This window comes from Homo sapiens, chromosome 9, assembly GCF_000001405.40.
Source record: "Homo sapiens chromosome 9, GRCh38.p14 Primary Assembly".
NCBI lineage: Eukaryota > Metazoa > Chordata > Mammalia > Primates > Hominidae > Homo > Homo sapiens.
The window spans coordinates 26,431,043-26,456,313 of NC_000009.12; the positions used below are offsets into that span (position 1 = coordinate 26,431,043).

A 25,271-nucleotide genomic window follows, 5' to 3' on the forward strand; every position below is an offset into this window, starting at 1 on the left:
ACAGCCACCAAGCTGAGAGTCAAATCAAGAACTCAACCATTTTCACAATAGTTGCAAAAAAAATTAAATACTTGGGAATACACCTAATCAAGAACATGAAAGACCTCAACAAGAATAACTACAAAACACTGCTGAAAGAAATCAGAAATGACACAAACAAATGGAAACACATCCAGTGCACACAGATGAGTAGAATCAATATTGTAAAAATGACCAAGCTGCCAACAGCAATCTACAAATTCAATGCAATTCCCATAAAAATGCCACCATCATTCTTCAAAGAACTTGATAAAACAATCCTAAAATTCATATGGAACCAAAAAAAGAGCCTGCATAGCCAAAAGAAGACTAAGCAAAAAGAACAAATCTGGAGGCATCACATCACCTGACTTCAGACTAATACTGTAAGGCCATAGTCACCAAACCAGCATGGTACTGGTATAAAAAATTGGCACATGGACCAACGAAACAGAATAGAAAAACCCAGAAATAAAGCCAAATACTTGCATCCAACTGATCTTTGACAAAGCACACAAAATCATAAAGCGGGCAAAGGACACCCTAGTCAACAAATGGTGCTGGGATAACTGGCAAGCCACATGTAGGAGAATGAAACTGGATCCTCATCTCATCTTATACAAAAATCAACTCAAGATGTATCAAATACTTAAACCTAAGACCTGAAACCATAAAGATTCTAGATGATAATATCAGAAAAGCCCTTCTAGACATTGGCTTAGGCAAAGACTTCATGACCAAGAACCCAAAAGCAAATGCAACAAAAGCAAAGATAAATAAATGGGACTTAATTAAACTAAAAAGTTTCTGCACAGCAAAAGAAATAATCAGCAGAGTTAACAGACAACCCACAGAATGGGAGAAAATCTTCACAATCTGTACATCTGACAAAGGACTAATATCCAGAATCTACAAAGAACTCAGACAAATCAGCAAGTAAATAACAGTCTTTTCAAAAAATGGGCTAAGGACATAGACAATTCTCAAAAGAGAATATACAAATGGCCAAGAAGCATATGGAAACATGCTCAACGTCACTAATTATCAGGAAAATGCAAATCAAAACCACAATGCAATACCACCTAACTCCTGCAAGAACGGCCATAAAAACTTTTTAAAAAAATAGATGTTGGCGGGGATGTGGTGAAAAGGGAACACTTTTACACTGTTGGTGAGAATCTAAACTAGTACAACCACTATGGAAAACAGTGTGGAGATTCTTTAAAGAACTGAAAGTAGATCTACCATTTGATCCAGCAATCCCACTACTAGGTATCTGCCCAGGGGAAAAGAAGTCATTATACAAAAAAGATACTAGCACATGCATGTTTATAGCAGCGCTATTTGTGATTGCAAAAATACGGAACCAGCCCAAATGCCCATTAATCAACAAGTGGATAAAGAAAATGTGATACAGATAGATATAGATATAGATATATAGATACCCCATGGTATAATACTCATCCATAAAAAGAAATGAAATAATGGCATTCACAGCCACCTGGATGGAACTGGAGACTATTCCAAGTGAAGTAACTCAGGAATGGAAAGTCAAACAGCCTACATTCTCCCTCATATATGGGAGCTAAGCTATGAGTGCACAAAGGCATAAGAATGACACATTGGACTTTGGGGATTCAGGGGGAAGGGTGGGGATGGTAAGGGATAAAAGACTACACATTGGGTACAGTGTACACTGCGCAGGTGATGGGTGCACCAAAATCTCAGAAATCATAACTAAAGAACTTATTTGTATGACAAAATACCACCTGTTTCCCAAAAACCTATTGAAATAAAATAATACATTTTTTAAAAAAATTTTAATTCAACAAGCATTTCCCAACACTCATCATGTGTCAGACACTCAGCTGCACACAGATATCACAGAGATTAGAACACACAACATAGTGCACTCAAGAAGCTCAGAGTCTAGAGGGGGATCAGACACATGGACAGACAATTCAAATGGTATAAGAATAGCTACAGCAGAGATGTGCATAGGTTACTTTGTCCAGAATACCATAAGATCCAGACAGGGGCATCTACCAACTTAGTCTGATAGTAGCAGGACAGTAGGAGGCCCTCTAGGAAAGGGGCTACCCAAGCTGAGTCTTAAGAGTTAAATAAGAGTTATCCGGGATAAAAAGAAAAAAAAAAAAACAGCTCAAAGAGCATTGTAAAAGCATGAGTAAAGGGAAATATAATAGTTAAATAACATAAAGAGTGAAAAATTCAAGCAAAAAACAACAGAAATTTTAGGAGATAAGAAAACTGGAGTCATATTAGACAAAATCTTCTAGAAACTAAGTATTTAGATAAATGCATGGGAGGTGAAATGATTGCTTTTTTAGTTTGTGTTGTTCAACAGAATTCCAGAAAATGAACAGATTTCATACTCATCAATGAGCTTCTTAAAAAAAAAAAAAGCATGTTATATACTATTTGAGTGTGTCGGGAACCAAGAAAATACGCAAAATGTTTGCTATGTGTCTTATTCTGTTTTCTGCTGTTATAAAGGAATACCTAATTCTGGGTAATTTATTCTAAAAAGAAATTTGTTTCTCACAGTTCTGGAGCTGGCAAACCCAAGAGCATGGTGCCAGCATCTGACAAGGGTCATCCTATGACAGGGCAGAAGGCAGAAGCAAGCATGTGAGACAGAAAGGAAAGGAGGGTGGGACTCCCACAGTAACTAACCTCCTCCCAAATTAATTCATTCAGGAGGGTAGAGCCCTCATAACCTAATTACCTCCTAAAGACCCCACCTCTTAACACTGTTACAAGGGCAATTAAATTTCAATCTGAGTTTCGGCAGGGACAGTCAAACCATAGAAGTATGTGAAAATATATATGCCTACACGCACAAATGCATGCACACACAAACACAAATGCATTTGCCAAAGTACAAACTACTCCTAGTTCATAAGCAATCTCAAAATTAAAAGTTGTTGGTTTTTGTCTTTAATACAGCCTTCCTTCTGGTCTCTACCAGTGATAGAAACAAGCTGACATAGCTCCTGGGGAAGTATGAAGGGTATATAAGGAAGATAAAACAACTCTTCTTTTTGGCCCTGAACTAAGCTTATAAAATACACTTGCCAGAAGGGAGATCTAGACAACATTTATTTGTCTAGTTTCATTTAAAAGTACATATAGCTTATCACCAAAAAAAAAGCATGCCTCAAAAGCAGTCACAGGCTTTGACAGAAAATGTCATGAAAAAAAATATTGCATTCTCTGTGTGTATGCATATATACCATTATGGCATGCTACCGTGTACGGTGTGTGTGTGTGTATAAAGATATATAATATGTAAATTAACTTTCCCTTTATCCATTAATAGGTCAATGAAATAACTGATCAGGGTGATGAAAGTACAAGCTCTGAAGTCAGACTGCCTGACATTAGGTCCTGGCTCCTCAATGATCATAAGCAATTTAGCCTCTCCAAGCCTCAATGACCTCATCTATAAAATAAAAATAATAATAATAATAGAACCTACCACATGTGATTATTCTGAAGATTGAATGAATATATAATGCATATAAAGTGCTTAGCATGTTGACTGGCATGTCATAAGAACTCAATAACAGTTGCAGGACCACTACACCTATACCAGATGTGATTCCAAAATAGATCTATTTTGGAAGGAGACATTTTGAAAAGCATTCAAGTGATTAGATAGGGCTGAGTAGCCTTTTTGATGCCAGCTATAAATTCACTCACATAAACTACTTTTGTAAAGGACCATCCAGTGCTTAAAACAGAGGATCATTTGTCATATTGCTCTCATAAATTCCCGTCACTTTGGCTTGCCTCATCTATATAAATGAGTCTTAAAAAAAAAAAAAAAAAACCCTGAATCTAATCACTCCTGGAGGCTGCAAAACAATAGATTGTTTATAAAATGTAGCATCACAGCTGACAGGCTTGCTGAAAATTGAGACAATGATACAGCCATAGGCTTCAGTAAAATGGCTGTGGTCAAGAAGAAGTTCAACAGCACTGATTAATCCCTAAAATGTAACAAAGTAGCAATTTATTTTTAAAAACCTCTATCTTTTCCCTTGGAATTATCCATCATCCTATTCTCTCTCCCATCCTCCTCTCTTGTTTATACCTTAATTCTGGGGAATAATTTTAAGAGGAAACATTTGCCAAGATTTTGAATTGCTTGTATTACTTAATGCATACACAAGTAAAAAAAAAAATACATATCCAAAATCCAAGTGTAAAAGCAGCCATTCCAGAGCTTGTAATATTTGGAGCCAGATTATAGATGGTAGAAATTTCAGAGAGGGGGGAAAAAACCTAGCAATCAGATTCAAGAAATATTTTTAAGAGAAATTTTGATCTGAAAACTTTGTGTTTTGCACATGTGAAAAATAGATCTTTCAATCAAGAGAAGCACAGGTTTTGGATAACATAAAGGAGCTCACATTTTCATATCTGACTTTCATTTTTTTCTGTTCTGGGAAAATAGAATTACTCTTCCATTGTGCAAGTCCACCTACTCAGAGGCATGTGATTAAGATCATAAGGAGCTCAGGTCTTCAGGCACAGAAAAAAATGTAAAAAAAAGAAAAAAATCCTGAAACCCAAGGTGAATTACCACTCTTTTAAGCTGTGATTAAGTTTAAAAATAAAACCATTAATGGTTTTTATCTGCAATTGAAACCAGAGGTCTACTTTTCCCCACTGTCTTTACTTTTGCCTTCAAATAAAATCTTATATATCTAAGAGTCTGTTTTTGGCTTAGGATTATTAAACCCTGATGTGATTCCTCCAGGGTTGAAGATCCTCATGCTAAACTGCTTACTAAAGGTTTACAAATTGAAATGGCTCTCAGGGGAATTTTTTTCTGCCCGGTGAGTTCTGTTACTGCTGTCTCTGAAGTCAGACATTATTGAGATAAAACTGATTAGAAAAGCCAAGGCTCTCTAACTTTCAACACCAAATAGGTCAGAAAAGCCTAAATCAGAGAGCTTGGAGCTCTTTCTGCTTTTATATTATTAAAAGACTTACTCTGGTAAGTGAAAGCCTTGTTTACTCAATACCAGTTTTCAGAAAACAATGCCTCAAAGCATCTTTTCTTTCCTTCCCCACACAACACTCAGAGCACAAATTTTTGAACAAATTCTGGATTAAACTAGTCTGTACTACCTGTGCTACGTCACCTGTTAACTAAACTGTGAAGTGACTTCTTACAGACCCCAGATGGCATGTCATGGCGGCTACATAGCTTAACAAGAGAATTAACAAAAAATGAAGATGCTTGTCTAACAAGGAGAAGGAAATAAAGAAACAAATAAAAATTTAATGCTCTTTCCTGAACCTCAGGTTTTAGGATGCCTATAAACTAAGAAAAACACCAGTTCAGCCTTCTATTTCATTCCTAGGTCAGTGATGTAGCATTATATATGATTTGTCCAAAATTTGTATTATTCTTCCTATTTTTTCTTAATAATAGAAAGTACAAAAGCTTATATAAGTAGCTCAACATACAAGTAAACTACGGTCTAAAAATTGTACCTTAATTTGTTAAAGCTTAGAACACTTTTTTCTTGGAAACAGTAACTGTCGACTTCTAAGACAAGTCCACATTCATATTGCAAAAACCCTATATCAAACCTCCCTAACAGTCGCTACTGTCTGCTCACCGAGTATTAAACATTTTTACTGATAAAACTCACAACTTTAAGGTAACTCATCTCTTTTGTGGGATAAGTCCTTTTGTACATTAGGCAAAATGTACTTACACTGAGCTGCAATCTGTATCCACCTACCACCTGGCAATTCCTACTATCGTAGCCAGGATCCATCCTGCTTCTTTTGCCCTCACTTCACTGTAAATGTGCCCAATTCCTTGTATCATTTCTCCTAATGTGGATTTCAGCCCTCATGCCTTACTCTGCACCATTTCCTTTTTAATGTCATTTGTGAAATGTGACGGTCACAGCCGGAGAGAATCAGACATGTGTGGCTAGCACAGTAGCTCACTGATTACCTGTGGCCTGGACAGTGTGGTTTTACTTTGTTTTGCTGAATACTAAGTCACTAGAAGACACAAGCAGCTGTGGATGGAACTTATTTGGGTTAGAAAAGAGTCTCATTGTTTATGATATGTGGCAGAGTGCCTAATGAGGGAAACCAACCAGAAGAGGCAAGAACTAAAAATACCAGCCACTTCTATATCTAGAAATGGAAAGAACAAACGACCTCTGAATAAATCTTTCTTTTCTGGAAGAATCATTTGGATGGCATTAGTTGCAAAATTGTAAGGCAAATAGATGCCCATCACCCTGGAGAAAAGTACAAAAAGAATCTGTTTTCCTGTAACTTGGCCAAATCTGTTTCTCCCAACTTCCCTTTGAGTTCCAAGCTCTGAAGGGGAATGAGAAGGAAGCAATTTGCATAAAGAACTGGAGGAGAAGGGCTCTCTGGGAGGGAAAGAACTAGCACACAAAGGAGCTAGACTACAAAGGGCCTCAAGGCAGAGCAAAGCAACCAAGCACCTGCAGTAAAGCAACCTTGGTGGTATAAAGCAATAGGACAAGAGGGCTGGTTCCTCCTTGCAGTCAAAGGAGAAAAAGAGAAATGAAAGTTTTCATTTGTTAGGACCCAGTACCCTCTCCTCCACCCCAGGAACACAACTAGGCTTTAAAGTTTGAATAAATTTATAGATTCAAAGATTTAACATACTCTTTGGAATCTGATAAAAAACATGTTAGCTTTTATACATCTTTTATACTTTTTATTGTGAAATATGACACATTTATAGAAAAGTTCACGAAATATAAATGCATTATATATATAAATAATTAGCTAAATAGCTAAATAAATAATTTTAAAGTAAATACTACCACTCATTTTTTAAATCTTTTAATTTTATAATTTTTCTTTGCTTCTTTTTAGAATTTCTGTCTTTTTTAAAAATCATTTCCAGTAATGTTGTCAACCCTTCCTTTTATGTTTTTGAATATATAAACTTAGTTATTTTAAAGTATTTGATAATTCTACATAGTCTCATTCATATCAGCTTCTCTCTCAGTGTGCCAGGTCAATTTTTAACATGCAATGGACCTTGCGTTGTTACAAATAATTTTAAACTTCCAACAAACAATGAAAATATTGTTTGTTGTTTGAGCCAGTGAAGCATCAGAAATCACTCTCAGCTTTTTATTGGGATTGAGCCTGGGCTGGGTGACTTCCCATCATCCCTAATCTTGGGATGTGGCCCTTCAAAGTCCAAACCTAAATCATAAACAGGGAGTTTTACCAGGGTTCTTACTTTGGACAGGCTTTCAACTCCAACTTTTGTCCCCTTAGTCTCACAAGGCTATCAGAAATAATTCTCAGTATTTTTATTTTCTTTTCAACAATCAGCAAACATAAGCAACATTAATGCTGGGCTAACCTCTCTATACATCTATTCTTGTTGAATCCTTGGCTCCATAATCCTTCAGTATATTTTTTACTATTTTATACCTTCAAGTATACGCTTTCCTATTGTTATTTAGCTGTTCTCTTTTTTATTCAGAATGTTGGTTAGAATTATCAGTTATCCAAAGTGAAAGTCTCTCCTCTTATTTGTATTTATTTAATCACCCGCAATAAATTAACCTAACTACTGAACAGACCTACTGCTTTATCTATACCTCCCTTATGATATTTATCCCTTCCAACCTTTTATTATAATCATTTTAAAATATTTCTCTCCTCCTTCATTCAATTTTTAAGTTTTTCTATGACAAAATTAATAACCATGCTTGATTCATTTATGAATTATCCCCATTCTTGAATGCTATCCACATTAGCCTTGCGGGAACTAAGTGACTGAATAAGCCTAAATATCTCTTGTTTGCACAACTGGGTGCATCTGAAATAGAACCTCTAAATTATCCTAAACTACATAATGGGTCATCTCAGCAGAAATAAGAAGTAGGCTGTAGTCCCAAACATCAGTTGTGAGTTGCATAAACAAGTTCCTCCAGACCTCATATAATAAGCAATTGCATACCTGCAGAAATAAATAGCAATATTAATACACAACAAATGGAAGCTTCGATACCCCAGGTTGCAGTTTCAATATTCATCTGCATATTTCATTTAGCGTCAGTACATGTGACTTAAATTGTGCAGCTATTGCTCTTATTAAAATTCATAAACTCCCTCTGGAATTCATGGCAGCCATCTGGCCAAATATTGGCTTCTTACATTTGAAACTCAATTGCATCAAAGTCACTGAATCTCTCAATCAGTTACAAAGGATCTGAGCTCTTAGGGCTTACATTGATTGGCCGCCATTTTCCTAATGGAGTCATAGCCTCTGTAATTACCTATTTGACAGGAGAGGTGCCTGCTTTCTGAAGGCTATATATCCTAGCTCTTCATTTACCTAAAATGTTAGTTGGCAGCCCTCATAAGAGCATCAGCTACAAAATGTGATTAGAGTTAATGTAAGTGTAACAGGATGATGTTCTCATCTCATCTCTACTTATTGCATATGGTTGCCACACATTATTCTCTAACATGGATTGCATTTCTAGAGTAACTTCAATGTACATTTTTATTTTATAATTCTTCAACAGCCAAAATTTATGCATTTGCACACACCTCATATCCACAGACATACTCAAGAAGTACTGCTTGATTCAAAAGCTAAAACCTCTCTTTCCAAATACATTCTGGTCCTTACAACATGAAGCATATCTCACCATGACTTTTCAATGTGCACAAGGAAAAGTAATTAAGAGCCCCTTCCTCAATTTATGCAAAGTACTGAAAAGAACACTGCTATTGGATTTAGAACCACATTCAGATTCCAGTGTTAGTTAAACCACTTATTACCTGCATTGTGTAAGTTAATTTTTAAAATCTCCAGATGTGTCTCTTCATTTATAACACTGAGATATTGATATCACTTTATTTTTTAATAATTATAATATTGTTATGAGATGATAATTTTATAATACTTTTTGTAAGTTTGAAATAACAAAAATTAAGCACCTAGCACAGTTCTTAGAAAATATTGGGCATTTGTACCAGTCAGACCTTGCTTAAGTAAAGAAGCTTCAGCTACCTCAAAATCTTGATGGTTTACAACAGCAAACATTTGTTTCTCACTCAGGAATCTTCAGTTTGTCTGTGGCTCTCCTGGAAGTGGTTGAGCTTACCTGGCCAGTTAAGCTGCATGTGGCTCCAGTATGCAGACTGGGTTCACACCTGCTCCATAAGTCTCTTTGTCCAGGATTCAGGATGAAAGGACAGTGCTTACATTGGGCATGCTCTTTTCACTGTGGATAGCAGAAGTGCAAAAAGGCTGGGAAAACTTTACTTGGACCTCACACACTATCACTTCTGCTCACTGCTATAGCAAGCCACATGGATAACCCCAAAGTCATTGTGACAGGGAAGTATATTCCACTCACAGGGAATCTATGGCCAGGAAAGGAGGAAAAGAACAGCTATGAATGAATACATACTCTCTAATACGCTATTCAATTAATGGTAGTCATTATAATTAGCCATTGTGTGACGCTGTGATGTTTCTGCCTCTATCCTGAGATCTCATAGCAAGTCATAGAAATATTTTCCCAATTATCTCCAAGAAACCAAGACTTCTAATGAACCTTTCATTAGATTATTTGAATGCCTCATTTTAAGTTACTGTGGTTATTCATTCAATAGGTACGAACAACCTATTGAATGAATTTCGTTATTCATACCTATTGAATGAATAACCAAAATAAAGCAGTTATCACTCAATATTTTTAAAGTACTCTTTTAAAAATTGAAAGTATATATTTTATTTATGCATTACACATACAATAAAATATATATTTATATAATATTTTTTAAATTATATATATATATATATATATATATTTCTTGGCTTCATTTGCTTTTTATAAGCCACAACAACCCTGTTAAACCTGGCAAAATAATATTTCCTAAAATACGATTAAGAGCTTTTTCATGAATTTGGGAGTCAGAATTCCTTGTTCATTTACCATCTGCCATCCCCACCCCCCACTCTCAAATTAGTGACTACTGCAAACTGTCTTATAGTTTCTGGCCCTATGTTCTAAATGGAACTTACATTTACCTCTTATTCTATTCAGCTTTTATTTCTACTTAAAATAGGGTTATCATTAGTTTTAATTCCCTTCTAGAATGTAACTTTCTACCAACTCTAATACTCTCTTTAAGACATTTAATCCTCACTTTTTCTCAGTCTGAATTATTTACAGTATCCAGATATCTAAGTTTCTGAGATTTTTTTATGCTCTCCAATCTTTTGAGGGACTTTACACCACCTAACTTATAAGAGGCTTATGATAGAGTGGTTTTTCTACCCTTTTACCTAAAAACATATAGTAGGGGCCAGGAATGTGGGGGATCATATTAGAATTCTGCCTACCATATTGGTTTCAAAAAATATTTATAAAATAGAAATAATAACGCATAATGTGTTCTTTAGGCAAAAAATCAGCTTCATAGTTTTGCAATTGGAAAGTACCTAAAAGATCATCCAGACCAACCATTCAACCTATGCAGAAGATTTTCTACAAACCGAAGGTCATCCAGCCTCTGCTTCAACATTTATATTGATGATGAGGCTCAATCGTTTGAAACGGGACATTTAAATTTTAAAACTCTGTAATTAATAGAAAATGTTTTCAATCTGTATTTCTCTAACCCCATTTTAACTAGTTCTTCCCTCTGGAAAATTTTTGAATCAAAATAATCTTCTCCAATAAAAGGCCTTTAAACTTAAAAATTACTATGATTTTCTTTCTAAAGCAGATAATCTAAGTTTTCTCTTCTTAGAAATTCAGGCTAAATATTCTAGTTCTAATATTATGCCATTCTCCACATCTTTCACCACCTTAATGGCCAACTTGTGAGTTTACTCTCACTTGTTAAAAATCCCCTTAAAACATTGTTTTTATACGTTGACCAAGTAGTATATCAGCTATGTTAATTCAGAGTATAAAAGAGCACAGCTCAACATTAGGAAATCCATAACTGTAATATATAATATAAACAGCCTAAGTAATAGGAATCACGTCATCATTTCAGTAGATGCAAAATATCTTTGGTAATTATTTATTATTTTAATAAATAGAAAATAGAATAGAATAATTCATTTGTATTTGTTGCAGAGTATCTTGTTCCAAAAAATCAATTTAATGATAAAATATTATTTACTTCAATTTTACAACTTACTTTTTTATTGAACAAAACATGCATATCTCACCATTCACTTTTAAAGTGAATCCGTTTAAATCAAGAATGAAATAAGGATCTTGTTATTATATAGTGTTATTTGGAAAGTTCCGGGGAATTCAGTAATTGTTTAAGTATTGGAAAGTTACATAGTAATCATTTTTGAAATCAATAAGGTATACCTAAAAATTATTTTAAAACTCCTAAAATGTTTGAATCACAAGACATTTAAATGTAGGAATATAACATAATTATGCCAAAAATTATATTTTAAACATTGATAACAGCCAGAAGTAAAACACAATGGAAAAAAGAAATGTTTCATTTGGAATCATGAAAAATGAAATAGTTAAAGAACATTACATATATATATATGTGTATATATATGTAACCTAGCTTTAAAAAAAGACAAAATAAAATAAAATCAAGACATATATATGTTTATATATAAAGAGAGAGAGACAGAAAGAGAAACATGTGGATAAGTGTACTGTATTTCAGAAAGTGGTGACAAAATGTTGCAAAGATGTCTAGTCTAGTTATCTTATAGAATTAGAGTTAGAATTCAATTAAAATTTAATCTGTACTTTTTTGTGCTGTGGAATTTAGCAAAATGATTCTGAAATTTATTTTGAAAAATAAACAAATGAAAATATCAAGCAGTAGTCATAAAATAACATCAACAGTATGTAAGGAGAAAGCGAAGAGTAACTTTAACAGAACTATTACACAGAAACAATAATTAAAACTCCATGACACCACTTCCCATATGAATATATCATTCAGTGAATTAGAAGAGAAAGATCAGAAACTGAATCAAAATATTTAAGAACTTCCTCTATTACAATTACACTCTTATAAACAATATAAAAGAATCATTTTAAGTATGGAGTGAGAATATTGGTTAACAACTTGAAAAAAGAACAAATTGAATCCACATCATTCTCTAAAAGGCAAAATATCTCCGTATGGAATAAAAATGTAAATAAAGTCAAACCATAGTAAAATTAGCAGAATATAATTTGTATGTATCAGATCTGGGAAAAAAATGATCACTCTCTCCTCCTTACAGCAGAAGAAATCACAAGATAAATAACTGGAGAACCCCTCCAAAAAAATTACATGCAAGAAGATGCCCTGGCAACATTAATGACAGAAGTGAAATATTGAAACTAAAATATATCTGTGAGAAGAGGGTTTTGTTAACTAAATTATTATATTTCAGTATATTATAACAGTATGCTGGTATTTATACATGATGATCATTAAGACTAGGTAAAATTATTAGAAATGTTTATGACAAAATCTTAGGTGAGAACATGACAAAATATATTTATAGCTTTTGAAAACCGTGTATACTCATTAGTAAGTTCTAGAGGCAATATCTTAAATCGGTTGATTGATAGCATGTACAGATTTGTCTGCGTGGAATCAGGCAAATGGTTTAATCTTCCAAGTCCTAATTTCTCATTAACGAAATAGAGGCACTTCATATCATTTTAAAGATTCCTCACGCTAGCATAATTAAAGTGTTTGGCTGATAGTCATTGCTCAACAAATCTATTATAATTAGGGGAAATATAGTATTCATCTTTCTTAAAGTTTCTTAAAACCGTGATGCTACTGCTTTTACACCACCCCAAAAAGCTGTTAAGTGATAACCAAGATAATCCAAATATCATCTGAGCAAATCAATGCTCCATGATTAGAACTCCCTCACCCCTTGCTATCTACTTACAAGGTTTCAAACTTCCTGAACCAATCCAAAGAAATAAAAGTAGTTATAACATTCACAATATTTTTATGTTTGGGCAAAGGGTTAACACAATGTTTTTTGTTTCTGTGTGGGTCTGATCTTTGGTGGTCTTCCTAGCTGTTACCTTGGAAAGAAATAAAGATGGTAGATGTCAACTATGTTATTAAGCAACATTGATTATGATGAAAAGAAGTGACCTTTGATAGACAGATTGTATCTAACCTGGGAGAACTATAAATCCTTGATGTGAGGCCAAACTTTGGGTTTCCCTAAATGTGATGACTCATAATTGGCCTGCCTCTCCGTAGAGACTCTGAAAGCTCTATCTATGGAATTGTCACAACAGATACTGACTCCTATCAGGCATGAGGCTTTCAAGCCAGGGCAGCCCCCACACCTGTCCAATGTGGATTTCACTTCTCCCTAAGTGAGTTGACCATGGGCAGTTGTGCCTTCTGCTGTGTAGACTGCTGTAAGGACTCCAGTGGAGAGGAATGTCTGAAGCTTCCCTGGGGACCAACTCTGGTTCTTGTCCTATGTCTTCTGAGTGGTCTAATGTCAAGTGTAGCATACGGGAGTGTAGTGTGTGTGAAAGTTTAGTCAAATCTAAGAAGATCCCTGATGACTGCTACAGTAAAAAAATTAAAAATAAAGAATTACTTGTATCCTTGGAATTGAGACAGGGAAAATGTTTTCTATAATTTTTTAAAAGTGTCAAGTATTACTTCATTGATTAGCACCACATTTTAAAGCAAATGAGAATCAGAGAGAAAAAGTACATATATGAACAGGGGCATCAGGGGAAGATTAAAAAATTTCTTGGGAGAAATGCTGTAGACAGTGTTCAGGAATAGGTTGTATTAGTCTGTTCTCATGCTGCTAATAAAGATATACCCAAGACTGGGTAATTTATAAAGGGAAGAGGTTTAATGAACTCACAGTTCCACGTGGGTGGGGAGGCCTTACAATCATGACAGAAGACGAAGGGTAAGCAAAGGACATTTTACATGGCAGCAAGCAAGAGAGCTTGTGTAGGGGAACTCCCCTTTATAAAACCAAATGAGAACAGCAAAGAAAAAACCTGCCCCCATGATTCAATTACCTCCCACTTGGTTCCCCCCTCCCCACCCATGACATGTGGGGTTATTCCAATTCAAGGTGAGATTCGGGTGGGGACACACAGCCAAACCATATCACAGGTTATTGACAACTTTGACTGGACAGTAAGTTCAATCTATCCCACTTCTGAATCTCTGACAAAATCACACAGGACTATGTAGCCCCATCCCATGGCTACAGTACTCCAGGGAAGCTTTATCACAGCACAAATAGCTGTTCATGGGTGGCTTTCTTGCAACAGCTTCAGACAGACTGTGCTCATGCTTTACCTAGTTTTGTACAAAAGGCCAGCATATGAGAGTCCAATTTATCTCAAGAGAAAGCAGGAATGAGACTCACTGGGTGACTGAAAGAGCTAAAAGAGCTCCTGAAGGAAGCACTAAACATGGAAAGGAACAACCGGTACCAGCCACTGCAAAATCATGCCAAATTGTAAAGACCATCGAGGCTAGGAAGTAACTACATCAACTAACGAGCAAAATAACCAGCTAACATGATAATGACAGGATCAAATTCACAAATAACAATATTAACTTTAAATGTAAATGGACAAAATGCTCCAATTAAAAGACACAGACTGGCAAATTGGATAAAGAGTCAGGACCCATCAGTGTGCTGTATTCAGGAAACCCATCTCATGTGCAGAGACACACATAGGCTCAAAATAAAAGGATGGAGGAAGATCTACCAAGCAAATGGAAAACAAACCACTAGGCAGTGGTTGCAATCCTAGTCTCTGATAAAACAGACTTTAAACCAACAAAGATCAAAAGAGACAAAGAAGGCCATTACATAATGGTAAAGGGATCAATTCAACAAGAAGAGCTAACTATCCTAAATATATAAGCACCCAATACAGGAGCACCCAGATTCACAAAGCAAGTCCTGAGTGACCTACAAAGAGACTTAGACTCCCACACAATAATAATGGGAGACTTTAACACCCCACTGTCAACATTAGACAGATCAATGAGACAGAAAGTTAACAAGGATACCCAGGAATTGAACTCAGCTCTGCACCAAGCAGACCCAATAGACATCTACAGAACTCTCCACCCCAAATCAACAGAATATACATCTTTTTCATCACCACACCTATTGCAAAATTGACCACATACTTGGAAGTAAAGCTCTCCTCAGCAAAGGTAAAAGAACAGAAATTATAATAAACTGTCTCTCAGACCACAGTGCAATCAAACTAGAACTCAGGATTAAGAAATTCACTCAAAACCACTCAACTACATGGAAACTGAACAACCTGCTCCTGAATGACTACTGGGTACGTAACGAAATGAAGGCAGAAATAAAGATGCTCTTTGAAACCAACGAGAACAAAGACACAACATACCAGAATCTCTGGGACACATTCAAAGCAGTGTGTAGAGGCAAATTTATAGCACTAAATGCCCACAAGAGAAAGCAGGAAAGATCCAAAATTGACACCCTAACATCACAATTAAAAGAGCTAGAAAAGCAAGAGCAAACACATTCAAAAGATAGCAGAAGGCAAGAAATAACTAAAATCAGAGCAGAACTGAAGGAAATAGAGACACAAAGAACCCTTCAAAAAATTAATGAATCCAGGAGCTGGTTTTTTGAAAGGATCAACAAAATTGATAGACCGCTAGCAAGACTAATAAAGAAGAAAAGAGAGAAGAATCAAATAGACGCAATAAAAAATGATAAAGGGGATATCACCACCGATCCCACAGAAATACAAACTACCATCAGAGAATACTACAAACACCTCTACGCAAATAAAATAGAAAATCTAGAAGAAATGGATAAATTCCTCGACACATACACCCTCCCAAGACTAAACCAGGAAGAAGTTGAATCTCTGAATAGCTCAATAACAGGCTCTGAAATTGTGGCAATAATCAATAGCTTACCAACCAAAAAGAGTCCAGGACCAGATGAATTCACAGCCGACTTCTACCAGAGGTACAAGGAGGAACTGGTACCATTCCTTCTGAAACTATTCCAATCAATAGAAAAAGAAGGAATCCTCCTTAACTCATTTTATGAGGCCAGCATCATCCTGATACCAAAGCCGGGCAGAGACACAAGCAAAAAAGATAATTTTAGACCAATATCCTTGATGAACATTGATGCAAAAATCCTCAGTAAAATACTGGCAAACCGAATCCAGCAGCACATCAAAAAGCTGATCCACCATGATCAAGTGGGCTTCATCCCTGGGATGCAAGGCTGGTTCAATATACACAACTCAATAAATGTAATCCAGCATATAAACAGAACCAAAGACAAAAACCACATGATTATCTTAATAGATGCAGAAAAGGCCTTTGACAAAATTCAACAACCCTTCATGCTAAAAACTCTCAATAAATTAAGTATTGATGGGACGTATCTCAAAATAATAAGAGCTATCTATGACAAACCCACAGCCAATATCATACTGCATGGGCAAAAACTGGAAGCATTCCCTTTGAAAACTGGCACAGGATAGGGTTGCCCTCTCTCACCACTCCTATTCAACATAGTGTTGGAAGTTCTGGCCAGGGCAATTAGGCAGGAGAAGGAAATAAAGGGTATTCAATTAGGAAAAGAGGAAGTCAAATTGTCCCTGTTTGCAGATAACATGATAGTATATCTAGAAAATCCCATTGTCTCAGCCCAAAATCTCCTTAAGCTGATAAGCAACTTCAGCAAAGTCTTAGGATACAAAATCAATGTACAAAAATCACAAGCGTTCTTATACACCAATAACAGACAAACAGAGAGCCAAATCATGAGTGAACTCCCATTCACAATTGCTTCAAAGAGAATAAAATACCTAGGAATCCAACTTACAAGGGACGTGAAGGACCTCTTCAAGGAGAACTACAAACCACTGCTCAATGAAATAAAAGAGGATACAAAGTAATGGAAGAACATTCCATGCTCATGGGTAGGAAGAATCAATATCGTGAAAATGGCCATACTGCCCAAGGTAATTTACAGATTCAATGCCATCCCCATCAAGCTACCAATGACTTTCTTCACAGAATTGGAAAAAACTACTTTAAAGTTCATATGGAACCGAAAAAGAGCCCGCATTGCCAAGTCAATCCTAAGCCAGAAGAACAAAGCTGGAGGCGTCACGCTACCTGACTTCAAACTATACTACAAGGCTACAGTAACCAAAACAGCATGGTACTGGTACCAAAACAGAGATATAGATCAATGGAACAGAACAGAGCCCTCAGAAATAATGTCACATATCTACAACTATCTGATCTTTGACAAACCTGAGAAAAACAAGCAATGGGGAAAGGATTCCCTATTGAATAAATGGTGCTGGGAAAACTGGCTAGCCATATGTAGAAAGCTGAAACTGGATCCTTCCTTACACCTTATACAAAAATTAATTCAAGATGGATTAAAGACTTAAACATTAGACCTAAAACCATAAAATCCCTAGAAGAAAACCTAGGCATTACCATTCAGGACATAGGCATGGGCAAGGACTTCATGTCTAAAACACCAAATCAATGGCAACAAAAGACAAAATTGACAAATGGGATCTAATTAAACTAAAGAGCTTCTGCACAGCAAAAGAAACACCATCAGAGTGAACAGGCAACCTACAAAATGGGAGAAAATTTTCACAACCTACTCATCTGACAAAGGGCTAATATCCAGAATCTACAATGAACTCAAACAAATTTACAAGAAAAAAACAAACAACCCCATCAAAAAGTGGGCGAAGGACATGAACAGACACTTCTCAAAAGAAGACATTTATGCTGCCAAAAAACACATGAAAAAATGCTCACCATCACTGGCCATCAGAGAAATGCAAATCAAAACCACAATGAGATACCATCTCACATCAGTTAGAATGGCGATCATTAAAAAGTCAGGAAACAGCAGGTGCTGGAGAGGATGCGGAGAAATAGGAACATTTTTACACTGTTGGTGGGACTGTAAACTAGTCCAAACATTGTGGAAGTCAGTGTGGCGATTCCTCAGGGATCTAGAACTAGAAACACCATTTGACCCAGCCACCCCATTACTGGGTATATACCCAAAGGACTATAAATCATGCTGCTATAAAGACACATGCACACGTATGTTTATTGCGGCACTATTCGCAATAGCAAAGACTTGGAACCAACCCAAATGTCCAACAATGATAGATTGGATTAAGAAAATGTGGCACACATACACCATGGAATACTATGCAGCCATAAAAAATGATGAGTTCATGTCCTTTGTAGGGACATGGATGAAATTGGAAATCATCATTCTCAGTAAACTATTGCAAGAACAAAAAACCAAACACCGCATGTTCTCACTCATAGGTGGGAATTGAACAATGAGAACACATGGACACAGGAAGGGGAACATCACACTCTGGGGACTGTTGTGGGGTGGGGGAGGGGGGAGCGATAGCATTGGGAGATATACCTAATGTAAATGACGAGTTAATGGGTGCAGCACACCAGCATGGCACATGTATACATATGTAACTAACCTGCACATTGTGCACATGTACCCTAAAACTTAAAGTATAATAATAATAAAATAAAAATAAAAATATATATGTAGACAATAAATCAATTTAGCATTCAAATCAATTACCAAGAAAATAAAAGCTTAAAAGGTAATCTGCACAGCAAAAGACACTATCAACAAAATGAAGAGACAACCTATAGAATGGAAGAAAATATTTATAAATCATACTTGCAATAAGGGGTTAGTATCAAAAATACATATGGAATTCAAACAACTCATTAGTAAGAAAATAAATAAGTCAATTTAAAAATGGGCAAAGGACCGCAATAGACATTTCTAAAGAGAAGACATACAATGGCCAACAGGTATGTGAAAAACTTTTCAACATCACTAATCATCAGGAAAATGCAAATTAAAACCAAAATAAGATATCATCTCATACCTGTTTGAATAGCTATTGTCAAAAAGACAAAAGATAACAAGTGTTGGTGAGAATGTGGAGAAAAGGAAACTCTTGTACACTGTTGATGGAAATGCAAATTGGTACAGACATTATGAACAATAGTATGGAGTTTCCTCCAAATATTAAAAATAGGCCTACTGTATGATCCAGTAGTCCCACTACTGAGTATATGTCCAAAGGAAATGACATCAGTATGTCAAAATGATATCTGCATTCCCATGTTTATTGCAGCATTATTCACAATAACCAAGAAATTGAATCAACCTGTGTTTTTCAGTGGATGAATGGATAAAGTAAATATAGTATATATACACAATGGAATACTATTCAGCTTTTAAAAAGAAGGAAATCCTATCATTTGCCACAACATGGATAAAACTGGAGGACGTTATGTTAAGTAATATTAGCCAGGTACAGAAAGACAAATGCTGCATGATCCCACATAAGGAATCTAAAAAAGTATAACTCACAGAAACAGAGAGTAGAATGATGGTTACCAGGGATGAGGTGGAAGGAGATTGGGGAGATGTTGGCTAAGAGATCTATTATGCATCATGGAGGCTATAGGTAACAATGATGTATCGTATACTTGAAAATTGCTAAAAGAGTAGATTTTAAGTGTTCTCACCACAAATGAATGATGTGTTTGAGGTAATAGATATGTTAATTAGCTTGATTTAGCCAATCTACAATGTATACATATTACAAAACATCATGTTACCCACCATAAATTTATATAATTTTTATTGATACATAATAATTGTACATATTTATGGGGTCCATGTGATATTTTGATAAACTTGTAAAATGTGTAATGATCAAATCAAGGTCATTAGTACATCCATCACCTCAGACATTTATCATTTTTCCATGTTGAGAACATTTCGGATCCTCTCCTTGACCTATTTTAAAATATATAATAACTTAGGTTAGCTATAATCACCCTACTGTGATATTAAACACTGGAACTTATTCCTCCTATCTAACTGTATTTTTGTATCTATTCAGCAACCTCTCTTCATTCTCCCTCACCCTTCCCAGCCTCTGGTAACCATGATACTATGCTTACCTCCATGACCAACGTTTTTACTTTCCACATGTGAGTAAGAACATGGGATATTTGTATTTCTGTGTCTGGCTTATTTCACTTAAAATAAGGACCTCCAGTTCCATCCGTTGCTAAAAAATCGCAGGATTTTATTATTTATTATGGCTGAATAGTATTCCATTGTGTATATATACCACATTTTCTTTATCCATTCATCAATTGATGGGCACTTGGCTGATTTCATATCTTGGCTATCATGAATAACGCTGCAATAAATATGAATGTACAGATATCTCTTTGACCTACTGATTTTCTTTACTTTGGATATGTACCCAGCAGTGGGATTGCTGGATCACATGGTATTTCTGTTTGTAGTTTTTTGAGTAACCGTCATACTATTTCCCATAGTGGTTATACTAATTTATATTTCCATCAGCAATATACTAGCATTCCCTTTTCTCCTTGCCAGCATCTGCTATTTTCCATCCTTTTGATAAAAGCCATTTTAACTATGATGAGATGATTGCTTATTGTGATTTTGACTTGCATTACCCTGATGATTAGTTAATGTGGAACATTTTTTCGTATGTCTATTGATCATCTGTATGTCTTCTTTTGAGAAATGCCTATTCAGATCATTTGCCCATTTTACAATCAGATTATTTGGGGATTTTTTTTTTTACTGTTAAGTCATATTCTGAGAATTAATCCCTTCTGAAGATTTGCAAACATTTTCTACCATTTCATACGTTTTCTCTTCACTCTGTTGTTTCCTTTTTCTATGCAGAAGCTTTCTTCTTGATGTAATCCAATTTGTCTATTTTTTCTTTCATTGCCTGTGTGTTTGAGGTCTTAACCAAAAATCTCATCCCAGACCAATCTCCGAAAGCATTTCCCCAATGTTTTCTTCTAGTAGTGTCATAGTTTCAAGTTGAATATTTAAGTTCTTTAATCTATTTTATTTGATTTTTGTATATACTTTCATTTTTCTGCTTATAAATATTCATATTCCAGCAACATTCATTGAAGAAACTCTCCTCTCTCCACTGAAAATTCTTGATGCATTTGTCAAAAATGAGTTTGCTCCAAATATACGGATTTATTTCTGGGTTCTCTATTCAGTTCTATTGGTCTATGTATCTATTTTTATGCCAGTACTATGCTGTTTTGGTTAGAATAGCTTTGTAGTATATCTTAAAATCAGGTAGTAGGATGCCTCCAGCTTTTTTCTTTTTGCTCTGAATTATTTTGGCTATGTGGGGTCTTCTGTTTCCTAATTCTCCACCCTTTTCCAGGTTGTGTTCTATTGCCCTGGCCTGCATTCAGCAAGAATCCTGTTAGGTCACTTTATCCAGAATCCCCCTTTGCTCCTGATATAATTTCCTCTCGCAATTTTCTATCCACTGAGCCCCACCCTGCTCCTTGGCTATAAATTCCCACTTTTCCCTGTTGAGCCTTGTTTCTCCTTCCTACTACAAAACCCCATTGTAGTAGTCCTTATTGCACAAAGTGTTTTTTTATCATCTTTGCCAAGTGTCAGGAGTAACATTTTCCTTAACAGGGCCCAGAAACAGACCAACCAAAAAGAAGGAAATGACAGGAAGATAATGAAAAGAAATCTGGGAGGACAGCAAAGAAGCAGGCCCAGTACAGATCAAAGCAAGAGGGTTAAGGAATTGAGGAATGATACTACCAAGAAAAAAAGAAATAGGAACCTATGGTGTCAGCTGTGAGCAATACTTACATAATCCTAAAAATGTAAACTAAAAATTCAGTGTTTAATTTTGCATGACAAAAACTGTAAATAATTTAAATGTCCAAAAAGTAGGGGTATTATTAAATTTGTGTGTATTTAGAAGATGAAATACCATATAAAAATTAATGAATGAACTAGATATATTTGTACTGACATGGTTAAATATCAGTAACATGAGATTCATTATGAAAAGAGCAGTTGAAGTAAATATTTATGTAAATATTTAAATTTAAAACAATGTCATTATTGTGATTACATATATATTAGTTTAAAAGTAAAATATATAAATTAGATATTCACAAAATTCATGATGATGATTGGATGGAGGGGAAGAAGGAAAAAGAAGGATCACGATTGCTAAGAGGAATATTGGAGACTCTGATCTAACTGTAGTGATTTATTTCTTTAAAAAATAATCTGAAGCCATTATTACCTATAACATACTCATCCCGAGGTTGAAGACATAGTGTTTGTTACAGTAGTATCCTTTTTAGAGTATGTTATTTTCTCACTCTAAAACAAAGATTTCAAGAAGCAATTTGCCTACAAAATTTCAGCCCCTTGATAGCCACAGAAACCAAGTTCTAGCAGAGAATTTAGGAGGAATGTGGCCTATCATTTTGTAATTAAGCAATTTATATCAGTCTTTTCTATTTCAGAACTCTCTAAACTAAAGTCTCCTAGTGATAAGTGCAGTAAACATCACTATTGACTATTGATAGATCAGTATCCTGGAGGGCACACCCTTCCATTAAGAACATTTTCCTCTGCTACCATCAGACCAAGGCACTGACCATAATGATAAACATTTCCATGCAATTTGCCAGACACTTACAGAGTTTACCTTTATTGAGTGCATAATGTACCAGGAAGTGTACTTTCATATTTATTAAGTGTCCCCCTAAGAGCCCGAGAGTATCACATAGTAGAAGAAATGTGAGCTTTAGAATAGGCAAACCTAAGCCTCGAACTGCTTCATCTCTTGCATGCCTTGTGAGCTACAAAATTTCTCTGACCCAGTTTCTTCGTACATAAACTGGAGAAAATTTGCTTACCTTATAGGTAATTATAAAAGGTGAATGAGATGATATCCGCATAGAGTCTAACACAGTACCTAAGCAGGACCTCGGTAAATGTTACCTTTCTCTTTTATAAAGTTCTGGGGGATTCAGTAATGTGACCCTGGTCACACCAAAATGAGAGAATCAAGGAGGCATGACCGTTAAGTGCATTGACTCTAGAGCCGGGCTGCCCAGGTTCAAATCCCAGCCCTGCCACTTACCAGCTGTGTAACTTTGGACAAGTTATTTAATCTCTCTGTTGCTTAGTTTTCTCATAAGTAAAATAAGAATAGTAGGGAAACTACCTCATAGGGTTGTTATTAGATAACTGAGCACTTGGAACAAAATGTAGTACATAAAAGCACTATGTAATTGAATGAATAATAAGTAATATATATGTCATGAATTCAATACATAGAAATTCATACTCCATGGAAGGAAATGTAGAGCTCCCCGTTTCACTGCACTATAGCACCACCAGCAACTAGCAGGGCTGGTGTCATATGCACATTCTGGTTTGGGGGTGGTTTGTGTCTATTATTCTTAAGTTTGGAGGGTGTAAAAGAAAGAGACATAAAGGGAAAGTTTGTCATTGACATCTTTAACTCTTACCTTCTGCGGATGGTACTCTTTTCAGTTATTTTGTATTTTTTTTCAAAAGTTTTAACTAAGCAAGTCATGGAAGCTCAATCTTAAGGTTTAGGCCAGGCACAGTCACTCAGACCTATAATCTCAGCACTTTGTGGGCCCAAGGTATGCCAATGGCTTGAGCTCAGGAGTTCGAGACCAGCCTGAGCAACATGGCAAGATGGTGTTTCTATGAAAAATACAAAAATTAACTGGGCATGGTGGCATGCACCTGTAGTACCAGCTATTCTGGGGGCTGAGGTGGGAAGATAGCTTGAGACTAGAAAGCTGAGGCTACAGTGAGCCGTGATCGCACCACTGCACTCCAGCCTGGGTAAGATCCTGTCCCCAAAAAAATAAAGTAAAACAGAATAAATAAATACATAAATCTTAGGGTTTAGCTACAATAATAGACCCCCATGTTTGCACTGAAATATGGACAAGTCTCTGTTCCTCTGTGACATGTCCTTTTCTTTTTCACCAGCAGCAGTGAGAACTAGCTGGCAACAATTTCCCATTATCCTCCTTCTGAAGGGCATGCATAACTCACTTAATTGCTTCACACTACAGTACACTGCTATCTAGAACCAGTCTGTTTATTTCCATTGTAACAGCATAGAAATAAATAAGCAATTTTCATACATTAGGAAACATAAGCATGCCAGAGTCTAATACATACATACGTATGTGATTAATAAACCAGAGCACTTAGATGAAATACACTGCACAGCACAAACACCATTCCATTAGAGCAGCCACTTGGGTGTGAGATATCACCCAGAGTTGTCTCACTGCTGGGCCCAGTAAAACAGTGCCAGGGTGGAAACTCATGGCACTTCCTCAGGATGAAAGCTCTCCTTTAGATTGAAAAATGAAGAGTGAGAAATGGAGAGCCAACTGTCCTGCTTTTGTAAGTGGTATTGGCTTTTGGTGAGCTATGAGCAGGCTTCATGACTCTGAGCAAATATATTTTCTGTGTCTTGTTTATTAATGGACAGAAAAGCTAGCCTGAAAATGAAATTGATTTTATTCACTTAGGATTTTATACTCCATTGCACAACCACAACCCAGCAAATTTTTCATTAAGAGAGATAATTACTTTAATGAAGATTAAATATAATTTAAAATTCACATTTATCTTTATCTACCTAATGCAGGTCAGAATTAGCCTAAAATGGCTGGGAAATGGGGAAGAAATGGGTTTCTTCAAAAAATTCCCCATCTGTTTAAGAGGAAATTGTCCTAATCTGACTGTCATTCCTGCCTTTTTTTTTTTCCTCTTTCTCCTCTTCCTCCCGTTCTATCCATTAATGTCTCCCACATCAGGCCCAAATCAGACCTTCTGCTTTATAATAATCCTAATTTGGGGATGTTTCACAGAGGCTGCAGGATAGCAGCAATTAATAGCCAGGATGCTTAGTGATCTGTGAAAAGCTGTATTCATGATGGGCATGTAGAAGAGAAACACTGAGATCAAAGAAGTGGCAGGTTAGTTTTAGAAATATCCTCCTTCCTTAACACAAAGTGCTTTACTCCAGTTGTCAAAGATAGGAAGCCAAGAATCATTTTAAACTCATCAGTATTACTCATATTTTATGTGGTGTTAGAACTGGTCATCATTAATGGCATTTGTGTATTGTTGTGGAAAGGGCATGTGCCTGGGAAACAGAAAAATGCAATGTTTACTCCTGGTTTTTCCTCTTTTCAGATGTAGTTAAAAATTGTTT

At 35.8% G+C, this 25,271-nt stretch overlaps 1 long non-coding RNA gene across 2 annotated transcripts in view; it reads right to left on the reverse strand.

Annotated features, from left to right (window-relative positions):
• LOC105375999 (uncharacterized) overlaps window positions 1-25,271 on the reverse strand; it is a 155,489-nt gene that overhangs the window by 84,873 nt on the left and 45,345 nt on the right. The window contains exon 1 of one of the 2 annotated variants that reach the window (XR_001746565.1): window positions 9,195-9,307. The exons of the other annotated variant lie outside the window; for it this stretch is intronic. This is a non-coding gene — a long non-coding RNA (uncharacterized LOC105375999). Of the gene's footprint in view, window positions 1-9,194; window positions 9,308-25,271 lie in introns of those variants that run through there. 2 annotated transcript variants of the gene reach the window in all.